This window comes from Homo sapiens, chromosome 7 (genome assembly GCF_000001405.40).
Source record: "Homo sapiens chromosome 7, GRCh38.p14 Primary Assembly".
NCBI lineage: Eukaryota > Metazoa > Chordata > Mammalia > Primates > Hominidae > Homo > Homo sapiens.
Window position 1 is genome coordinate 93,129,637 of NC_000007.14, and position 19,294 is coordinate 93,148,930.

General features: G+C 39.5%; 1 protein-coding gene across 9 annotated transcripts, besides 1 other annotated feature; it reads right to left on the reverse strand.

Annotated features, from left to right (window-relative positions):
* On the reverse strand, nucleotides 420-18,749 carry SAMD9L (sterile alpha motif domain containing 9 like). Of its 9 annotated transcripts, none has more exons than NM_001350084.2 (6): nucleotides 18,558-18,749; nucleotides 17,452-17,510; nucleotides 16,273-16,404; nucleotides 15,749-15,896; nucleotides 15,096-15,197; nucleotides 420-6,355 (listed from the first exon to the last, which is right to left on the reverse strand). In NM_001350084.2, exon 6 carries the CDS (start codon nucleotides 6,333-6,335, stop codon nucleotides 1,581-1,583), a length of 4,755 nt encoding a protein of 1,584 aa, NP_001337013.1. In that variant the 5' UTR covers nucleotides 6,336-6,355; nucleotides 15,096-15,197; nucleotides 15,749-15,896; nucleotides 16,273-16,404; nucleotides 17,452-17,510; nucleotides 18,558-18,749; the 3' UTR covers nucleotides 420-1,580. The 9 variants fall into 9 exon arrangements, with proteins under 9 accessions (NP_001337013.1, NP_001290426.1, NP_001337011.1 ...); NM_001303497.3 differs by having other exon boundaries at nucleotides 17,247-17,510; NM_001350082.2 differs by having other exon boundaries at nucleotides 15,749-15,944; nucleotides 17,247-17,510.
* Nucleotides 17,949-18,048: an enhancer, noted in NCBI's record as "active region_26279". NCBI's record gives its function as "activates an Ori minimal core promoter by ATAC-STARR-seq in GM12878 lymphoblastoid cells {active_cell/tissue: GM12878}" and the evidence as "EXISTENCE:reporter gene assay evidence [ECO:0000049][PMID:35858748]".

The window sequence follows — 19,294 nt, forward strand, 5'->3', positions numbered from 1 at the left end:
ATTATGGTTAGCAGGAATATTTAGTAGTTTTTCCTCCTTTCATTATAACTTTTTTCTCTACATCAAGCCTTTAGTTATGTCTTACTAAATGTTATAGTCCAGCAGGGGAGTTTAAAAGAAATAGGATCAGGCCTATGTCCCCAGGCCTATGAACAACTTGGGGAGTATAGCCACTTGGGAGATCCTGTTACTGTATGGACTGGTGGACTGCAGAAGAGGGAGGCAACTGTTTGGAGCAGGGTCAGCAGCAGACACAGCTTTCAGAAAGAGGGACATGTTCTGGACCATGTGAGCGTTGCCCAGATTCATAGAAATATAGGCCAGAAGAACCCTGATAGAGCATAGACTTCTTGATGACAAGAAGAATTGGGTTTGGAGTCCAGAATATCTAAGTTACATTACAAAGAGATACAAAGATGTGGATAAATAAATATATTTTTTATTCAATATTCAATTTAATCTATATTAGCCTATGTTTCACTTTATAGGCAATGCGTAGTTCTTAAATTCCAAGCTCTAGAATGCTGCTTGAGACTGTTCTGGCTGTTGTGCATCTGAGAATGAGCTTCTGGGATGGCATTCCTTGACACTGAAAACTTGAGAACACATATTACCATGAGGAAGCCCTCTAATCAGGCAGGAATGATGGTGGTCAAGGAAGACTTCCTGGTGAAGGTGACTCTTGAAATCAGTTGTGAATGACAAATCAGAATAGCAGGAGAGAGAATGTTAGATGGAAATAAGGCAATCTCAACAGAGAGAACAGCATGTATATAGCACAGGTTGAGAAGTAAAGGGAACAAAGAGGGTAATGAATGGAAAAAATAAGCCAGGGGAGATGGGATCTAAGAAACAGGTGGAGATAAGGCTGTATTCACAGGAGACAAAAATGGCTTAAAGGAAGAGATTCACCTGTAAATGGGAACAAGAGAATGGAGAGAGTTCAAGTTTATGATTACTTTATTTTTTGAACTCTTCTCTCTCCTGGAGCAATGAGCTGGGAGAAGGGCAAGGGGTACAAGGAGTGTGTGTGTGTGTGTGTGTGTGTGTGTGTGTGTGTGTGTGTGTTGGGGAGAGTGTTATGTGGTGGATGGGGAACAATATATTTACCTTCCACATAAGTTTTTATTGATACCAAGATGAGGTAAATAGAACTCTGGTGTGGATCTGTGGGTTTGAGTCCAATAAGCTTTCTCTTTTACATTCATCTTATTTAAATCTTTGCTGTCACAGTGAAGAAATAATTTAGAAAACTTATAAAAGCAATTGAGTTTAACACAGATTTTATTGCCCTATAGACAGTTATGATGTGACCAGTGGATATCAATGAAACTTCTTAATTATTTGAGTCTGAAAATGCATATTTAAAACATTAAAAGATTGACTCCACTTTGTGCCAAGCTCTGCGGGTAGGCATATTTCATATCTTAAAAAGGCTTGTAATTCATTCAGGGAGGCAAAAGCAAAATCTGTAATTAGAGGTTAGCCATAATGTTATGAAAGTGCCATGAGAATAGAGAGAGAGAATAAAATCATAAAGATATAAATAAACGTATTTGAACTACAGGTGATGTATTGTCTTAAATTACTTCTATATCATATGCCAGAGGGCCTTCAATGGAAAATCCTAGGTAGAAAGACACTCTTTCTATGTTCCTACCACTTCTGAGTGGACCTGAATAAACAGATATTACTGGTATTTTTATTTTTTCCTCTGTTCCATATTCTACAGAGATTAGCTTGCCTTCAGCCTGACCAGTTAGACGACGCAGGAGGTCTTTGACTTCATTTTTTTTCCACACATCCCCACTGTGCCAGAGGGAATTTGTATTTTGTGCTTTATCAAAGTACTGCTCTATTTTGGCCTTGTGAACAATACTGTTTAGACCCTTCCTTTTGCCCAGATAGAAAAGTGTGCTTGCCTGCTTGGACCTGCACATGCGCTTGTACTGTCCCCTGAAGGATCTATTTAAGGATGAAACATACTTTTCTATTAGTTTGGAATCTTGATCTAGCTCTTGATTTTCTGGCCAGAACAGGAGGCAGGCCAAGAAATAAGGACCTGGATATTGATGACTTAGTCCTACAAATTGCAAGACCTCTCGGAGTTGTTTTTTTAGCGTGGTAAGTGGTTGAATTAACTTGGAGTTGGGCTTTAGACAACTCAGAATAATGTTGGCCAAAATGGAATTTTGTTTCTCATTTGTCATGGGCTTTTTTGAGTTTTGCTGCAGTAGGAAGGCATATTCATTCACTATACTTTCCATGGTGGTAGCATCTTTGTAGTTTGGATTAAGATATTCCAAGAGTCCAGCAAACCTATCTGCTCTCAGAGCTTCTAGCTTTTTCCTGCAATTCTCCTCCTGGAGTAATTGACTCTCTTTACTTTGTAATAGACATGGATCCAAATGACAGAAAAGTTCTGTGTATTTCCTGAAACAACGACTGACTTTCTTGCTTAACATGATTTCTGCAATTTCTTTTTGGGTATACCTCATTTTCAGAAGAACCATATAATCAATAAAAAAGTCAAAGCACCTTTTCAGATCTGATTGTAAATTTTTTAGGTGGGATGTGAACTTGCTAAGAGCCAAATAACATTCATTTCTGGGATCAGGAGGAATGGTCCACTTTCCTGATAAAAATTGCACCATATGTTTTTTGGATAATTCATTTTCTTTGTGGAAAAAGGGAGTGAGCTGAAGAATCTGGATAGTGTAAAGACCAACTTCTATTTCACCCAAGAAACAAGCTGTGTTATACATGTCATATCGTCTCTGGGACTTCTGTGGTGACCAGTTCTCGGTTTCATAGTTTTTACTATCAGTTTGCCTTTGGGATTCTTTGAAAGCTCTTGAGGCTTTTTCCGCAGCTTCTAGGAGATGTGTTAGGTCATTAACAGTAATGCTCCTACAGTTTTTGTTCCCATCCAACCACCATTTGATTTCACTTTTGTAGACTTGACCTAGTGTATCTGAAATATAGGAATTTTTAGGTGCTTTCATTTTGGCCTGACGTGCCCAGTCCAGAGCTGTGTTAAAGTCCTTCTCTTTAATGTAGAAATGTCTTGCTAAGGCTTGACAAATGAATGCATTTTGTGGGAATCGTCTACTTCCTGCACTCAAGACCTTTTCAATGTCTTTATTCTGTAAAGCTTCCATTAATGGGGAAAACAGAGTGTCTGTTTCATCTCCATACACCTTGCGCTGTCTTGTAAGCAGAAGAGTTTGAACATCATGTTGAAATTTGTCTCTTCCTATTCCAGAATCATAGAATAAATTCTCTTCTAATATATTCAATGCAATTTGACATTTATCCAAGTGATAGCTTCTTTCCAGTTCTTTTAGACAGTACAGGGCAATCAGAGGGTGAATGATACGCACACCTGTGTATCTCCCATATTCTGCAACTTCTGTTTTTATTAGAAGTGTAGAATAAGTTCCCATCTTGTCTTCTAAGCTTTCAGGTTCCCAGGGTGTACTAGTGTATATGATTCCCAAAAATATTTCACACTGTGAAACTGAAATTGTAGAGTCAGTAACATAAGAGCTGAGTAAAGCCAGGAAGGAAATGAGTTGTGCTTCCTTGCTGTCAACATCCTGTCCTTTTAGGATATTCCTGACTACATTTTCTATATATGTTTCATCAAAATTGCTTTTCATGATCATGAAGGAATAAAAGTTTTCACAGTTCTTGTGCTGCTTTTCAATTTCCTTCAGTTTGGCACCAAAAGCTCTTTGTTCCTTGGAAGAAAGTTGGTAATTTAGTGCAATACTGTCTGCCAATTTTGCACTTTCATCTGGATTCCGGGATCTCATGCAGTTTAAGATAATTACCAATGTTTTTTCATATCGCAAATCCTTTTCTGCTAAAACGGAATGGATGGCATTTTGTAGAAAGTAGACATTTTCTTGTTCTTCAAAATCATCCACAAGGAGAAGCACAGGAATGTAATCCTGATGGCTCTTTGCCCTATAGGTGACCAGATTGATCACTTGCTCTGCAATTTCTGCAAAATCAGTTGTCTTGTTTTTTAACACAGCACATCTGAAGTTTTTCTTTAAGTCCCAGAGAACATGCATAGCCAGTGTGGTACCTCCACAGCCTGGATGATGATAAAGATTGATGATTTTTGCAAATATTGGTTTAGGAGACTCTGCCCAGCAGTGTATTAAATCTTTAAGCTTTTCATAACTGTCCCTTTTAACAAAATCTGAAGAATAGTTTTCAGAAGAAAAATAGAAGTTCCACCAGGATACTTTGCCACCTCGATAAAAGTGTTCTTCTTTTGATTTCTTAAACTCCAGGAATTTAGATTTGTCTTTCTCGATGTCTGTCTCTGTACACTCATTTTCACAGAGGATTTCCAGTGCAGTCAAGACATCCTCTTTCTTTTTCTCTAGGATAACTGAAGAAGATCCACGGGCGGGCAAAAACCTTCTTGATGACCGAGTCACCGATTTTAGTTTAAGGATAGTGCTGTTTACCAGTTCTATATTTAAAGTGGAAATACTGTGGTTTGTTAGTTCATCTTCCATCTTCATTCTTGTTTGTAGTAGATCTTTCCATCGTTGATAAATATGTGAGTTTACAGAGATACACAACATATTTTCCATTCCTTTGAGAGCTTGATAGAAAGCCCAGAAAGTTTCAATGAGTGGATCTCCTGGGCTTTCCACTGAAGAGAGTAATAGAAACACTACCAAAAATTTTCCTCTTGTCATTATATTTTCATCTGTGAGAAATAAAATTAGTTTCCTGACTTCTGAAGCTCTTTCTCTCTGCCATAAATGTGGTTCTAGAGGTTTATATGTCTCGCTTTTCAGGTCTGATCTGCCGTTGCAGAAAATCCAGCTGGGCTGTTGGTAAAGATTAAGAGTAGAAATCTTCTCCCACATGTTAGTTGTCTTGTCTTCATATTGATTTGGAAAGTGAAGGTTTGCCACCCGACTTTCTTTGTAAGCTTTGACCACTCCATTGATCATAGATTCAGGATCAAACTCCAACACAGCAAACCATTTAATTTCTTTTAAAAAATCTAAGTGCTTTATTTGGTTTGGATGGCATTTATTTGTTACAAGAATGTACCAGTCATAGTATGAATTATCCAGTGAGTCTCGGTTTCCTATGAGAAGTTTAACCAGCTTTAGTCCTTCACTCTCCTTCTTCATTGCCTTCATTCCATACTCTTCTTCAGCCTCTTTTCTAGATGCTACCAGTGACTTTAAATTTTGTAAAAATGCCTTGAAATCTACATCCCGTTGCTTGGAATTGGCCAGGATATCCCTAGAGCTAGCCCCTTCTCTTACAAACAGTGAAAGATTTTGGTTTTGTTTCCATATTTTATCTTTACAAATTTGCATCTGAATGTAGAAATACTTATCATTACATATAGAGTGTTTTGGAATAGTATCAACTTCAATGACAAATCTGTCAGATGGTGTATTGTTCTGCAGAAGGACTTCCACAAACCTTGGCTCCCGAATACACTTCTTGGCTTCATTGATCTCACTTTCTTCAAAATACTTTTTGATCATTACATTGAAGTGGTCAATGAAGGCAGCCTTACTGGTGATTTTCACACCAACAATTTCTCCATGGGGTTTGTCCTTGACTCCAAAATGGATGGTGCCATTGGTGCGTGAATTCATACAAGCTGATGCAAATCGGAAGACTTCATTGCTGAATTTCATCTTAATGTCCACTTCCGTGGCTGTTTCTGTGTTTGTGAGAGCTTTGAACTCATGTATTGGATCAATGAGATTGAGTGCTCCTGTTTCAGGTTGTAGAGTATAATGTTCTATGTAGCGATGGCTGTCATGGAACTGATCAAAAGGATATGGCATACAAGTCAATTGTTCAGGTTTTAGCTTACCCTTTTTCTTGTGTTTAGCATTTGCTACTTCATCTAACACATTTTCTTTCATAAGAATTGATTCTTCTTGTTTGATATCTCTGATCTCTCTGGGATCATAATCAATATTAGATGACATTGAATTTTCTTCTTCCTTTTTGGTGTGTTTTGGATTTTTCTGGTGTTCTGTTTTGGACGGTTTTGAATTATCTAATTGTCCCGGATCATGATTGTCACTTTCAGGGGACTTACTATTCAATTTGTTGTATGAACGTTTTATCAAAAGTGCTGGACCCCATGGTAGCCCCATTTCTACAAGGTCCTTCTCAGTTAATTCCTGCAGGACTAATCCTGTTACTTCTTCACTGAGCAGAATTTGCCCGTATTGCTCATTAATCTTAAGGTCTTCATTTACCCATTTTTTCACATGCTCTTTGGTCCAGTCTTTAATCATTTCAGGTAGAGATACTTGTTTACTCATATCAAAGCTTCAACTTCTTCCTGAGACAAAGCAATATAATAAGTATTTTAGAATTATACTTTATTTTTAAAATCACATAGACAATTATGTATACATTATCATACAGAAGATACATATATATATGTATAATATTGCTAAAGGCTGACTCTTAAAACTGCTTGATACTTACTTTAGCTATTTTACCATCCTAATTCATACCCTTGTTTCTTAGGTGACTCTAATTGTAATTATGAAATAAGCTATAGCTGCTAACTGGTGACACACCTTTTAGCCTTATAATAATTCTCCCTTTTAGCTTAACTTGGTGAAAGTTGGGGTTTTGTGACTTAAAAGCAGAATCTTAAGTAACATAGAAATTGGTTTCCGTAGCATATAGGAATATTGCAAATAAACTTTAAAATAATGAAACTGGATAGGTAGAAGTGGGTTGAGGAACAGGAATCCACAGCTGGCTATCTTTGTTACATAGTAACAGAGCAGTTGGTTAAATAATCTGTTTTCTTTTGGAACTCAAGCTGTTAGGCCACAAGGCTAGGGTTTGGGGGAATGTGGTAGCAAAATGTCAGGATAATTGATTTGATTGGCTAATTCTTGTGTTCTCAGAAGGTACCAAAAGAGACTAGCTATAATTCAAGCTGGGCTCCCTGAAACTAGATAGGGAAAATAGTATGAGTTTTTAATTTTGTTAGAGCCATTTTCACCTAAATTATTGATATGAGGCTAATGAAGATCCTACAACTATGTACTTTGATGAATGGCAAGAGCTGCCTATTTTGGACTCCTAGAACAGGGGTTCTTAACCTTGGTTAAACATTAGAATTACTTGGCATTCCACACCTGAGACTGCATTAGTTGGTTGAGGGAGTGAGGGTGGTGTTTTCAGGCATTAGTACTTCTAAACATTTGCCTTGGTGCATCTACTGTGCAGACAAGACCAACAGCAGTGGTTCTTAAGGTGTGGTCTCCAAACTAGCAGCATCAGCATCACTTAGAAGCTGGCTAGAAATGTAAATTCTCAGGCCCCCACTTAGACCTACTGAATCAGAATTTAAAAGATAAATCAATTAATTGGTTTAAGTAAACAGAAAATCAGAAAGAATATTTTACGGACAGACAAAAAAAACATTAAGGATCAAATGAAACAAAAACACTAAACTATAAAAAGATAAAATACAAGCATTTTAAACTAGGGGTCTCCAAATCTGGGGACCTGGACCAGTACCAGTCTCTAGCCTGTTAGAAACTGGGCTGCACAGCAAGAGGTGACTGGCTGATGGGTGAGCTGGCAAAGCTTCATCTGTATTTACAGCCTCTCACCATATCTTGCATTACTGCCTGAGCTCCACATCCCATCAGATCAGTGGTGGCATTAGTTTCTCATAGGAGTGAAAACCTTGTTGTGAACTGTGCATATAAGGGATCCAGGCTGCACACTCCTTATGAGAATCTAATGCCTGATGATCAGTCACTCTGTCCCATCACCCCAAATGGGACCATCTAGTTGCAGGAAAACAAGCTCAGGGCTCCCACTGAGTCTACATTATGGTGAGTTGTATAATAATTTCATTATATTTTACAATGTAATAATAATAGAAATAAAGTGCACACAAAATGTAATGCCCTTGAATAAACTCAAAACCATCCCCCACTACCCTGTGGAAAAATTGTCTCCCATGAAGCTGGTCCCTGGTTCCAAAAAGATTGGGGACTGCTGTTTTAAATGATTTGTAATTTTTAGGTTCCTTAGGTTTAAGGAACCTAAGTTTTTTTTTTTTTTTTTTTTTTAATTTAATGTACATCCAGTCACAAAGTCTAGCCAAACTGCAAATTTGAACCATCTGTGCTTGGAGCTTCTTGGAAAAGTTCACCAGAAAGTCCCCTTGAAGTTATGTATGGAGAATAAGCTAAACTGGGGCTTCAGCTTGCAGCCCTGTGATTGGCCACAGAGGAAACTTGCACTACACATTTATGGTGTGAATACCATATTTGCACCAGGATGATTTACCCCATCTATAGGCATGCAACCACTGAGCCTAGCAGCTTCCACTTGCCTTGGTAAAACTGTTCCTGGTTGTCTTAGTGCCTTGAATTCTCTTACTTACTCTGGCTTCAGTCTGCAGATCACAACTAGTCCTGGGCCAATTAGCAGAACCATGAGCAACTGGCACAATGAACGCTATAAACGTATTTTAGATGATCAATTCAGTTCATCTGTAGTGTAGACAGAAGTCACTTGTGGGTCTTAAGGAGTCCCACAAAAATTAGCCCATATATTGTAACTAGCGATAAGTGTTATTTATCTTAAGTAGTGTCATCTGTTCATTCATTCTACACATATTTAATGAGCACCAATTATGTACCAGGCATCATGCTCAGGAAAAACAGTGATAATCAAAACAGATGTGAAGCTCGTTCATGACATTTATTGTCCATTGGAGAAGATAAAAAAAGGAAATAAGTCACACACACACACACACACTCAGAAAAGTTTGTACTGACAAAGTGTGGTAGTGCTTTTTGTCAGACACAAGAAGGAGTCTAGGCCTAGGATATATGAGGAAGAAGAGAGTGGGAACATTGGGCAGGTGAAGTTAAGGGAACTGCTGGAGTCATGTGGGAGGCAATTGAGGGAGAAAGCCTGGGGGACAGAGTTAGGGAATAAGAAATAGTCTACTTGGTGGACCTGCCAAAGGCCCCTTTAGTGGGTCTAAGGGGTATGACATAGCGCTGTTCCAGCAGTGGGCAGCTCCTACTCTTGCACCCAGAGCCAGGGCACTGGGCCTGCCATAGAGTACTCCAGGGCAGATGGAGCTTGGGAGCCCGGTAGGCTCATCCCTGATATTCCCATCTCTCTGCCGAGGCCCTAAGTGTCATCTCAGGTAAGACCGACAGAGGGGCCCTGCCTCACCTTTTTACAAGCATTATATAAAACCAATAGTATAAGCAGTTATTAATAAACATATCCTTAATGAAAACTTTTTTGAAGTCATTACATATGAGATAACTACCATAGTATTTTAAATCTTAGTCTTAAGATATTTCATACTTTGAAAATTTGCTGAATACTTACTTTTTATATATTTTATACAGTTTTTAGACATTTTAATATATTTTGTATTAAATACATTTTGTATTAAAATGTAGGAAGCTGAAGGGAAGAGGACACTTGTGTCCTCAGATACCATTTCTGTCATAATTATTGGTGGCTCAATAGACATGTCATTGATCCTTCCAATACAATGGCCTCTCACCCGATCGACTTTTATCTTGACATCAACCCACCTCTATTCCCACGGTCATATCCTTGACCTTATCATTACTATTATGGATTGAATTATATCGCGCCAAAGTTCAGGCACTGAAGTCCTAACCTCCAGCACCTTAGAATGTGACTTTATTTGGAGACAGGATTGTTGTAGATGTAATTAGTTGACATGAAGTTATAGTGGACCCTAATCCAATATGACTGAGGTTTTTGTGAAAAGGGGAAACTTGGGCACAGAGGCTTGCTTACACACCGGGAGAACAGTATGTGAAGACGAAGGCAGAGGTTAGTGTGATGTTTCTACAAGCCAAGAATCACCAAAGATTGCCAGCATGCTACTGTGAGAGGCATGGAAGAAATTCTCCCTTGCAGCCCTCAGAAGGAACCCTCCCTGCCAATAGCTTGATCTTGGACTTCTAGTTGCAAGGGTTCTGAGATAATACATTTCTGTTGTTGAAGTGACTCTGTGCTACTTTGTTATGGCAGCTCTAGCCAATAAATACGGTTACTGAGAACTACAAGCCCTCCGTCCTCTCTGTTTCAAACACTTCCCTGTCCCCACCATCTCCTGCCCCTCAGACCCACTGCCTTTAGTGCTCAAACACTAGTAAGTATTTCTTTACCACCAACACCTTTGATCTATTGATTCTACTACTGTCTCACTTTTCCTCACTCCATTCATGTTTCACTTTTCCTCTTTTACTGACTTAATATTTCTTTGATTATTCATTATCATGACTTATTTTTCTCCTCTCTGGTACACTCTTATAGTTAAACTACAATGCTAGTTACATCCACCACTCAGTCCCCACTCAGTCCCCACTCAGTCCCCAACAGCTTGTCAGAGCATGGCTGGAGAATGGCCCTCCATACCCTGACTGGAACATGGCTGGACAATGGCCCTCTGCACCCTGACTGGAGCATGCTGGACAATGGCCCTCCATACCCTGACTGGAACATGGTTGGACAATGGGCCTCCACACTGACTGGAGCATGCTGAACAATGGCCCTTCATACTCTGACTGGAGCATGCTGGACAATGGCCCTCCACACCCTGACTGGAACATGGCTGGACAATGACCCTCCACACCCTAACTGGAGCATGCTGGACAGTGGCCCTCCATACCCTGACTGGAGAATTGCTGGACAATGGCCCTCCACACCCTGACTGGAACATGGCTGGACAATGGCCCTCCATACCATGACTGGTCTCACCTTAATGCTGTCAGCTACCATGCTTTATTTCTCTGCGTTAGTCAACCTCTTCACTTGCAGTAGTCACTCTCTTATTCTCCTAAACAATCATTTCACTGTCTCTCCTCTCTCATCAAACTTACAACACCTCCTCACCACGGTCACCTTGTTTCCCATTTAAACCGGCAGAATTGAAGGAATCCAAAGAGAGCTTCTCCAAACTCCTGAAACCACATCTACCCATCAACCTGCGTCTTCACTTTTCTTCTGTTACTACATCATATGTTAGTTTCTGTTCTCTGCATGTTCTGCCCACATGCCTAGTGAGGTCAACCTCTCCACTTGCAGTAGCCCTTGCATCCCTCTCACCTATTCAGGAAGTTGCTCCAGAAAGTGTCCCCACTCTATTTGGCTTCTTCAGTCTTTCCTCATCTACTAGATCTCCTTCAGCAATCAAGCATGTTTATTTTTTTCATGTTAAGCAAGACTCTTTGGAAACAACTCTTCCCCACATTTGTGCTTTTCTTCACAGTAGATCTGTCTACACTTTCTGTTTCCTGTTTCTCTTCTTCCACTCACTTTAGAAGGCACTCCAATCAGGCTTTGGCCTCACTCCTCCACTAAAATTGCACTTGGTATTGCTACAGACAGTTCTTGACAGAACAGCAGCACTTGAAACAAGTGATTGCTCTCTTTTCCTTGGATCACTCTCCTTGCAGGCTTTTGGGACACTACCTTTCCTGATTTTTCCTCCTCCTTTTCTGGCTAGTCCTTCTCAGTTTCCTCTGCTGGTTCTTCCTTAACTCTCCACCTCTAAATGTTGACGTGCCTCTCAGACCTAGCCTCTTTTCTATCTAGAGTTTTATCTAGAGTTTCTCCCTATGAATCTCATCTATCTTGCATTTAAACGCAATCTGTATGCCTGTGACTTCCAAATTAACATGATCGGCCCTGGCTTCTGCCATGATGTCCATATATCTGCCTTCTCTATGTTCACCTAGGTATATGACAGTCCTAAAACGAACATGGCCAAAATTGATCTCCTGATATATGCCCCTCCCACTCCAAACTTGCTCCTCCTACAGTCTTATCAGTTAATGGAACTTGTCAATTGTTCAAGGCAAAAACCTTGGCAGCATTTTTTACTGCTTTTTTTTTCACTCATTGTATTAGCAAATACTTTCAATCACACCTTCACAGTATATCCATAATTCCACCCTTTCCCACTATCCCTACTGCTACCACCCTGTTCTAGGCCATCATCTCTTTCCTGGATTATTTTTGTTACCTGGTCTCTTTGACTCTGGCTTTGCCCCACCACCATGCCATTCACTCTATTTTCAACACAACAGCCAACCTGGTCCTGTTCAAAAGTGTAAGTGTGATCATGTCACTGACTCTTAGTCAGTGTCCTCTGCTCAAAACTTTTATCTGACTTCTCATCTCGCATGGAGTAAAAGCCAAAGTCCTTAAATAAGGTCTGACATGATATGTCCACCCCACTGTCTTTTTGACCTCATTACTTCTGCTCACTTCCCTCCAGCTGCCCAGTTGTCTTACTGTTCCTCAAACATGGCAGCCATGCAGCTACACGAGGCCTTTGCACTACCTGTTCCCTCTGCTTGGAATGCTCTTCCTCCAGATGCCAACACAGCTCACACCCTCACCTTTTTAGCTCTTTACTCAAATTCAATAAGGCCTTTCTTGCTCATCTTTCTTAAAATTTCAGTCCTTCCTCCAGCACTTTCCATTGCTCTTCCCTGCTTCAAGTTTTCACTTTAGATTTATGTACTATACATTTCACTTAATTATATTTCTCATTCTGTGTCAGCAACTGGAATATAACCTCCATGAGAACAGACATTTTTGCCTGTCATTCATGCATGAATCACCAGGGCCTGACATAAAATAAGCACTCAATAAATATTTGTTGAATGAGGAAATTAACATTTTTAGATTAGTGAAACAATTGAATTGTATTTGGGAAATATCTTCATGTTGTCATCGATGAGACCAAAACCAACTCCAGCATCTGGATTAGCCAGTCATAATTAGTAAGAAAAGAGTTTACTTTTCAGAAAGAAAAGTCAGTAAACATTTTATTCTTCATCTAACAGGCAAATTACAGAGACTTGATGTCCTATTGTAAGCTCCAGTTTTCTAACACTTCTCCTCAGGTTTTGGTGTCTCACAGTCCCTGAGTGAGCATTTTTCTCAGATAGGGTTTTCCCTGGAGGAGATCTCTTTCTACCCTAGGTCCTCAGTAAGCCAGAACCCCAGGGCTTCAGGGTCACCTTCCACTGTTTTAACTGCTGTTGCTGCTTTAGGCAACAAACCCTCCTCTGGAGATGCTCTTACTGTCACCATAGAGTGGCTCTGTTTAGGTGTGAGGCAGTATCTTCTCCTAGCCAGTGTCCTCTCTCAGTAATTCAAGCTACCCATCCTTTCTTTGGGTCACCCCAAATACTATAAGGAAGAACTCTAGATTTTTCCCTTCTGTGGCTACAGCAATTCTTATAGACACCAGCGCTCTACAAGAAGCAGCGTTTTAGGAATTTCCTGCTTAGCAACCATTACATGCCCAGAGACACTGTGTTTGCCGGGTGGTTGCGTGGGGGATAGCAGAGGGATTGTCTTTGTGTCTTTGTGTTACCTGACAGCATGACAGCTTTCCCTCACTTTCTTCTTTATTGATTGACTTCTGTCAGGAACTACCATGGAGATAGAAACACCCTTCTCAAATAGGGTGACTGGCATCTGTGCTCCTCAAGCCTCGAGTCTTTTTATCTTTACCTTGTCTTAGAGGTTTCCCAATGGTTCAAAGATAAAGACTCCACACCCTGACTGGAACATGGCTGGACAATGGCCCTCCACACCCTGACTGGAGTATACTGGACAATGGCCCTTCACACCCTGACTGGAACATGGCTGGACAGTGGCCCTCCATACCATAACTGGTCCCACCTTAATGCTCTCAGCTACCATGCTCTATTTCTCTGCTTTAATCACTCTTTTATTCTCCTAAATGATCATTTCATTGTTTCTCCTCTCTCATCAAACCTACAACACCTCCTCACCACGGTCACCTTGCTTCCTGTTTAAACCAGCAGAATTGAAGGAATCCAAAGAGAGCTTCTCCAAACTCCTGAAACCACATCTACCTACCGACCTGCTTCTTCACTTTTCTTCTGTTACTACATCATGTGTTAGTATGATAACATATAACATAAAAATATTTCTCAGCCAGAATTCCACCATTTCCCATTGGTAGCTGAGAATATATTTAACAACTTGAAGCTATTATGTATTCAATATTACTTTCATGTGAATTTTGCCCTCTGTCAATTATAAGCATCTTATATGATCTATAATCCATAGGTAGTTGGAACTGTTATTTAATTCAGGTGACAGTGATTTGGGCAAAAGTCTTTAATAATGCTTTGACATAACCCTTTGGCTCTTTCTGTGACTTAAACCTTACACCCTAGACTGCAGGCATAGTTTTAAACATGAGGGCTTTCATGTTTAGCAAGAAGCTACACAGTGTGTATAAAGGTGGAGGAGTTGTGATCAGAAAAATGATGTCACGATTAAATTATGTCTCCTCTCAGTGAGCCTGTTTTCCCACTTATAATATAGGAAAATTGGACCAGAACTAGTGTTGTCTTAGCTATTGCTTGTTTTTGTTCTGCTTCTTCAAATAAATGCACCTGAAACCACTGTATCTAACATGGATAAAGGTGTAGCTGCTCTGGTTGGAGCTGGGCAGAAGACCTTCACCTTAACTCTATTCTGTTCTGGGATAATTTTGAAACACAGAGTTCTCTTTATTTGTACACTGGGCCCTCCCTATCAGTGGGTACCACATCTGTGGGTTCAATCAACCACAGATTGAAAATATTTGAAAAAAAAATTGCATCTGTACTGAAAATGTAAAGACTTGTTTTTATTGTCACTATTCCCTAAACAATAAATACGGTATAACAACTATATAATATTACATTGTATTAGGCATTATAACTAATCTAGAGATGACTCAAAGTACACGGGAGGATGTGTATAGGTTATATGCAAATACCTTGCCATTTCACATTAGGGATTTGAGCATGTACAGGTTTTGGTATCTGCGCAGGTCCTGGAATGGATCCCCTACAGATAATAAATTTTAGGATCTACTGCCTAAGGACTATTATTTTTCTCTCTTTAGGGACTAAGCAGGAAGGATCAAACTGGCCTGCCCTTGGCAAGCTCTGGTGCTCACCATCATGTCTAGGAGGCTGGGCCTCACTGGGCTCACTCACCTCACTGGGCTCACTCACTCACTTTCCGTGCCTCCGGGAAAGGATGCTCAGAATCCCAGCTGCAGCCCAGCAGGCCCACCCCTGCTCTGATCCTCTGTGTAGCTGAAATCGCAAAGCAAAAGTTAGTTTTATTTTCTTGAAGTGCAAGTTCAAATTATGTATTTCCTCCCATAGTCTCTATACAAGCTAGATGTGCATAAAAGTCTTACATAAAATGATGGCTAAACCTTGGAGGATTTTATTCTTTAATTAAATGTAACTTATAGGACAGAGTATGGCATAGCTGCACATGGCTACAATTTTCTACATGGTTTTGTATGCTTGGATTCCTGATCTCCTGGTCTATGTTTTACCCAGGTTTTTTAGCCTCACCCCAGAGCTTTCCACCTCTAGAAATATGCTGCACCGTCACCATGCTTGCTGGAAAGTTTCTTGTTTAAAAATTCTGCAATCAGCACAAGTTACATCTATTGATTCTCATATAAAAATAGTGATATTTCTCATTCCTTTTAAAATGGTTTCATAAGAAATAGCTTATGCACACTTGCAAGTATGTTCATTTTCAAAGTTCTGTTTTACTTTTTATAATTAGTTTTTAAAGATAGCTTTTAAAGAGAGTTGATTAAACAAGACTTTAATGATTAGAAACTTACCAGGGCTTTTCTGAAAACTTCTATCTTTATATTAGAAACATAAAATAAGTCTTCATGAGGCTGTTTGATCTGGATCCCTTAGATTAGTTCCCCTTTCTTGATAATTTGCAAGAGTCACGTTCTGGAAAGCAGCTATGAGGAAGCAGAGCTGTAGGCAGAACAGACTTGGTCCTTGTTCAGTTTGCCGGAGGATATACTTGTTGAGAACGTATTGCATAAAACAATGATATCACAACCAATTAAAATGCAATAGACTGGACTGCTGCTGAGGAAATGTTTATGAAACAGATTTTCCCCCCAACTTTCTACTATGAAAATGTTTGAACATACAGAAAATTTGAAAGAATAGTGAAAAGAATACCCTTCTCCTAGGTAGCATCTCTTTGTGTACTTACTTCTAAGAAAATAAATAAAACTCAAAAAGTATGTGACAGGTACACTTTATCTCTCTTCCAGCATTCCACATTCAATGTGGAGCAAATCCTATGGGGTGTATCTTCAAAATATACCCAGCATTTGACTACCTGACACCACTACCACCTGGTCCAAGCCTTCCTCATCTCTTTCCTGGATTATAGGAATAGCTTCCTTGCCAGGTTCCCTCTTGCTGTTATTGATCTCTTCAGGGACTTCTCAAAAAAGCAGCCGGAATGACCCTGTTAAAATGTAAACATCATATCAATGTTGTGTCCAACCCTGTCTGTGGCTTTCCATCTGACAAGGCCTCACACAATCTGGTACCCTGCTAATCCTCTGATATTAGGTCTTTTATTTTTCCCTCTAAATCTGGCCCAGTCCCCTGACCTCCTCGTTGCTTCCTGAAGGAAGCACCTGCCCCTGTTTCCAGCCACTACACTTGTTTTCCCTTCCTGGAATGTCCCTGGATACCAGCAGGGCTCACTCTTTCACTTTGTTGAGATCTTTTGTCAAATGTCACCTTCTCAGCAAGGCACTGTTTGGCCAGCCTACTGAAAACTTTATCCCACCTCCCAACATTTCCTATCCCTCTTCTGGCTTCATTTTTTATCTACTTAGGACTTACAAGCAGCAAATATTTTATATATTTTAACCTATTTATTTTCTGTCCAACCCATTATTCTATGCACTCCATAAGGACAAATTTCTTTACATTTTGTTCATTATCTGGCATTGCCTAGCACATAATAGCTTCTTAACAAAAATCTGTTAAATGAGTAACACATTTTCTTAGAGTAGTTAAAAGTAATGAATATTTGAAAGGCCTTGAGCTACCAGTGTCTGTGGGTCAAAGGACTTCCTCATTTTCCTAGGGAAATTATTTCGCTTGGCTGGAACTCCAGGTAGAAATCTGGGGAAATCTCTTTACTGTGCTACCCGTTAGGCCAGAATGAACTCCAGCTTCTATCATCTGGTCACAAATAATGAAAAGGAAGTTTTTTTTTCAAAAGGAAAGCAAAACAAATGAATATATTTTCTCCTGCAGTTTTTGTAGATACCCTAGTTACAGACTACACCTTACCAACTTTCTGCTGTGTCACTCACAGTCACCGAATGAGGCCATTTCTCACACAGCGTTTTCCCTGGAGGAGGTCCCTTTTGACTCTAGGTCCCCAGTGTCTTAAGACCTTTGCTGTTTTCACCCTCTGCCTTTGCTGGGAAGCTGCTCTTCTGGCAAGGGGCTTACACTTTCCACAGACACAGTCTGCTCGGGTGAGATGCAATACCTTCTTTTAGCTGGTGTCCTCTTTCAGAAATTTAACCAGCCAGTCTCTCTCTGGAAATGCTAAAGATGGAAAAAACAGACTCCAGATTTTTTCTTTCGTTTTAGCCAGTACAATTTTAAGAGCATCTGGATGTATGCTGTTGGAACTAAGTAACAATCAAAATGACCATGATTAGTGTGGACAAATTTTGTGATTGCCTTGACTTAAGTCTTGGCTTTCTAGGGGCCCTCAGTGTCCTGTTTTGAAACAATTGTGAAGACAAATATTATCTTTAGCAACGTTGGTTATTGACAAAGGAGTTGCAGGTTGGCATCCTCAACACTTCAGTTTTCTCTCTTTGATGCTCAGCAAGAATTTCCAAGTCAGCAAACTCTCAGGGACAAGCCCACCCCATCTTTGAGAGACCCTCAGCAACACCGCTGATATCCATGCCCTAGGGAGGTGTTCTGCTCTGCAGGATTCTTAGAACTGATGTAGGGGAAACACACTTCAGAATCTGGCTGTAGCCCAGGAGAGCTACCCACACCCTCCTTGCATAGTCTGGCAGACAGAAGCCACACAAGCAAGTTAGTTTCGTTTTCCTGAAGAACACTTTGCATTTTTTTTCTTAGTTTTCAACCAGATTGCTGGATAAGATGTATGTGAATGAAATACTTTAATAGAATAATATTTAGCCTCTGCAGAGTATTAACTTTGATAAAATGTAAAAGTTTTAATAACATCTTACGTTATGAAGACAGAATTTTGTGTAATTACACAAGATCACACGTTCCTTTAGAATCTTCAGTGCTTAAATTCCTGACCCTGTTTGCATCGTTTCTCTATCCTCTTTTCCAAAGCCTGCCTGCCACAATCAGAAACCCTCCCACTATCCTAATTACACTTAATGGTATGTTTCTTTTTAGAAGAGCACTTACAAAGTTATTATCAGTTAAATATACTGACATGTATTTAATCCATTGATTTTTCTAATTACTCTAGTATTTTTATAAGTAATCGTTTATGTACAAACATATATTTATATAAAAAGTACAGCTGAAGTTTTAAAAAATAGCTGTCGCCTCAAAAGCATAACAAATAAAGGTTTAATGATTCAGTTTACTTACCAGGATTTTCCTGAAAATGTCATCGTTTTATATCAGAAACTTGAAACAGGCCATTTGAACTTTTGCTGTCTCATTCCTCTTCTGATGGCTAGGAGACATGAAGTGTAAGGATCCTTTTTTAAAAACTGAGGCATTAAATTGTGAAGTCTTCTGTTCTCCCAGTACTCTGACTTTCTGAGGGTGTGTCAGAGTGCCAGTTGAGAAGCAGGAGGAAGTTGAAGTATAGACAGTTTCAGTTTTGCTTTAGAACATTCTTTTTTCTTGAGTTTAGAAGGATCTGAAATGTTTTTTAATCAATAACATTACCAAAAATATCAATAAATTTGAATCACTGCTTAGAAACTGTTTACCAGGCAGATTTTTAAGTTATAAGAGTTAAGGAATAAGGAAACAACAAACAAACAAACAAAAAAACCCAGTGACCCAAAAAACTACCTACAGGACAAAGAGAATGGAAATACCAGGGAGAAAATTAATATGTCAGTGCAATCTAAGTTCCTGTTACTGGTTGAATTGTGTCCCCCAAACATTCATATGTTAAAGTCCTAATCCTCACTCCCTCCAAATGTAACTGTATTTGGAGATAAGGTCTTTCAGGAGATAATTAAGTTAAAATGAGGTCATTAGAGTGTCTGTAATTGAATCTGACTGTGTCCTTGTAAGAAGACGAGATTGGGACACAGACACATACAGAGGGAAGACCATGTGAAGACACAAAGAAAAGATGGCCATCTACA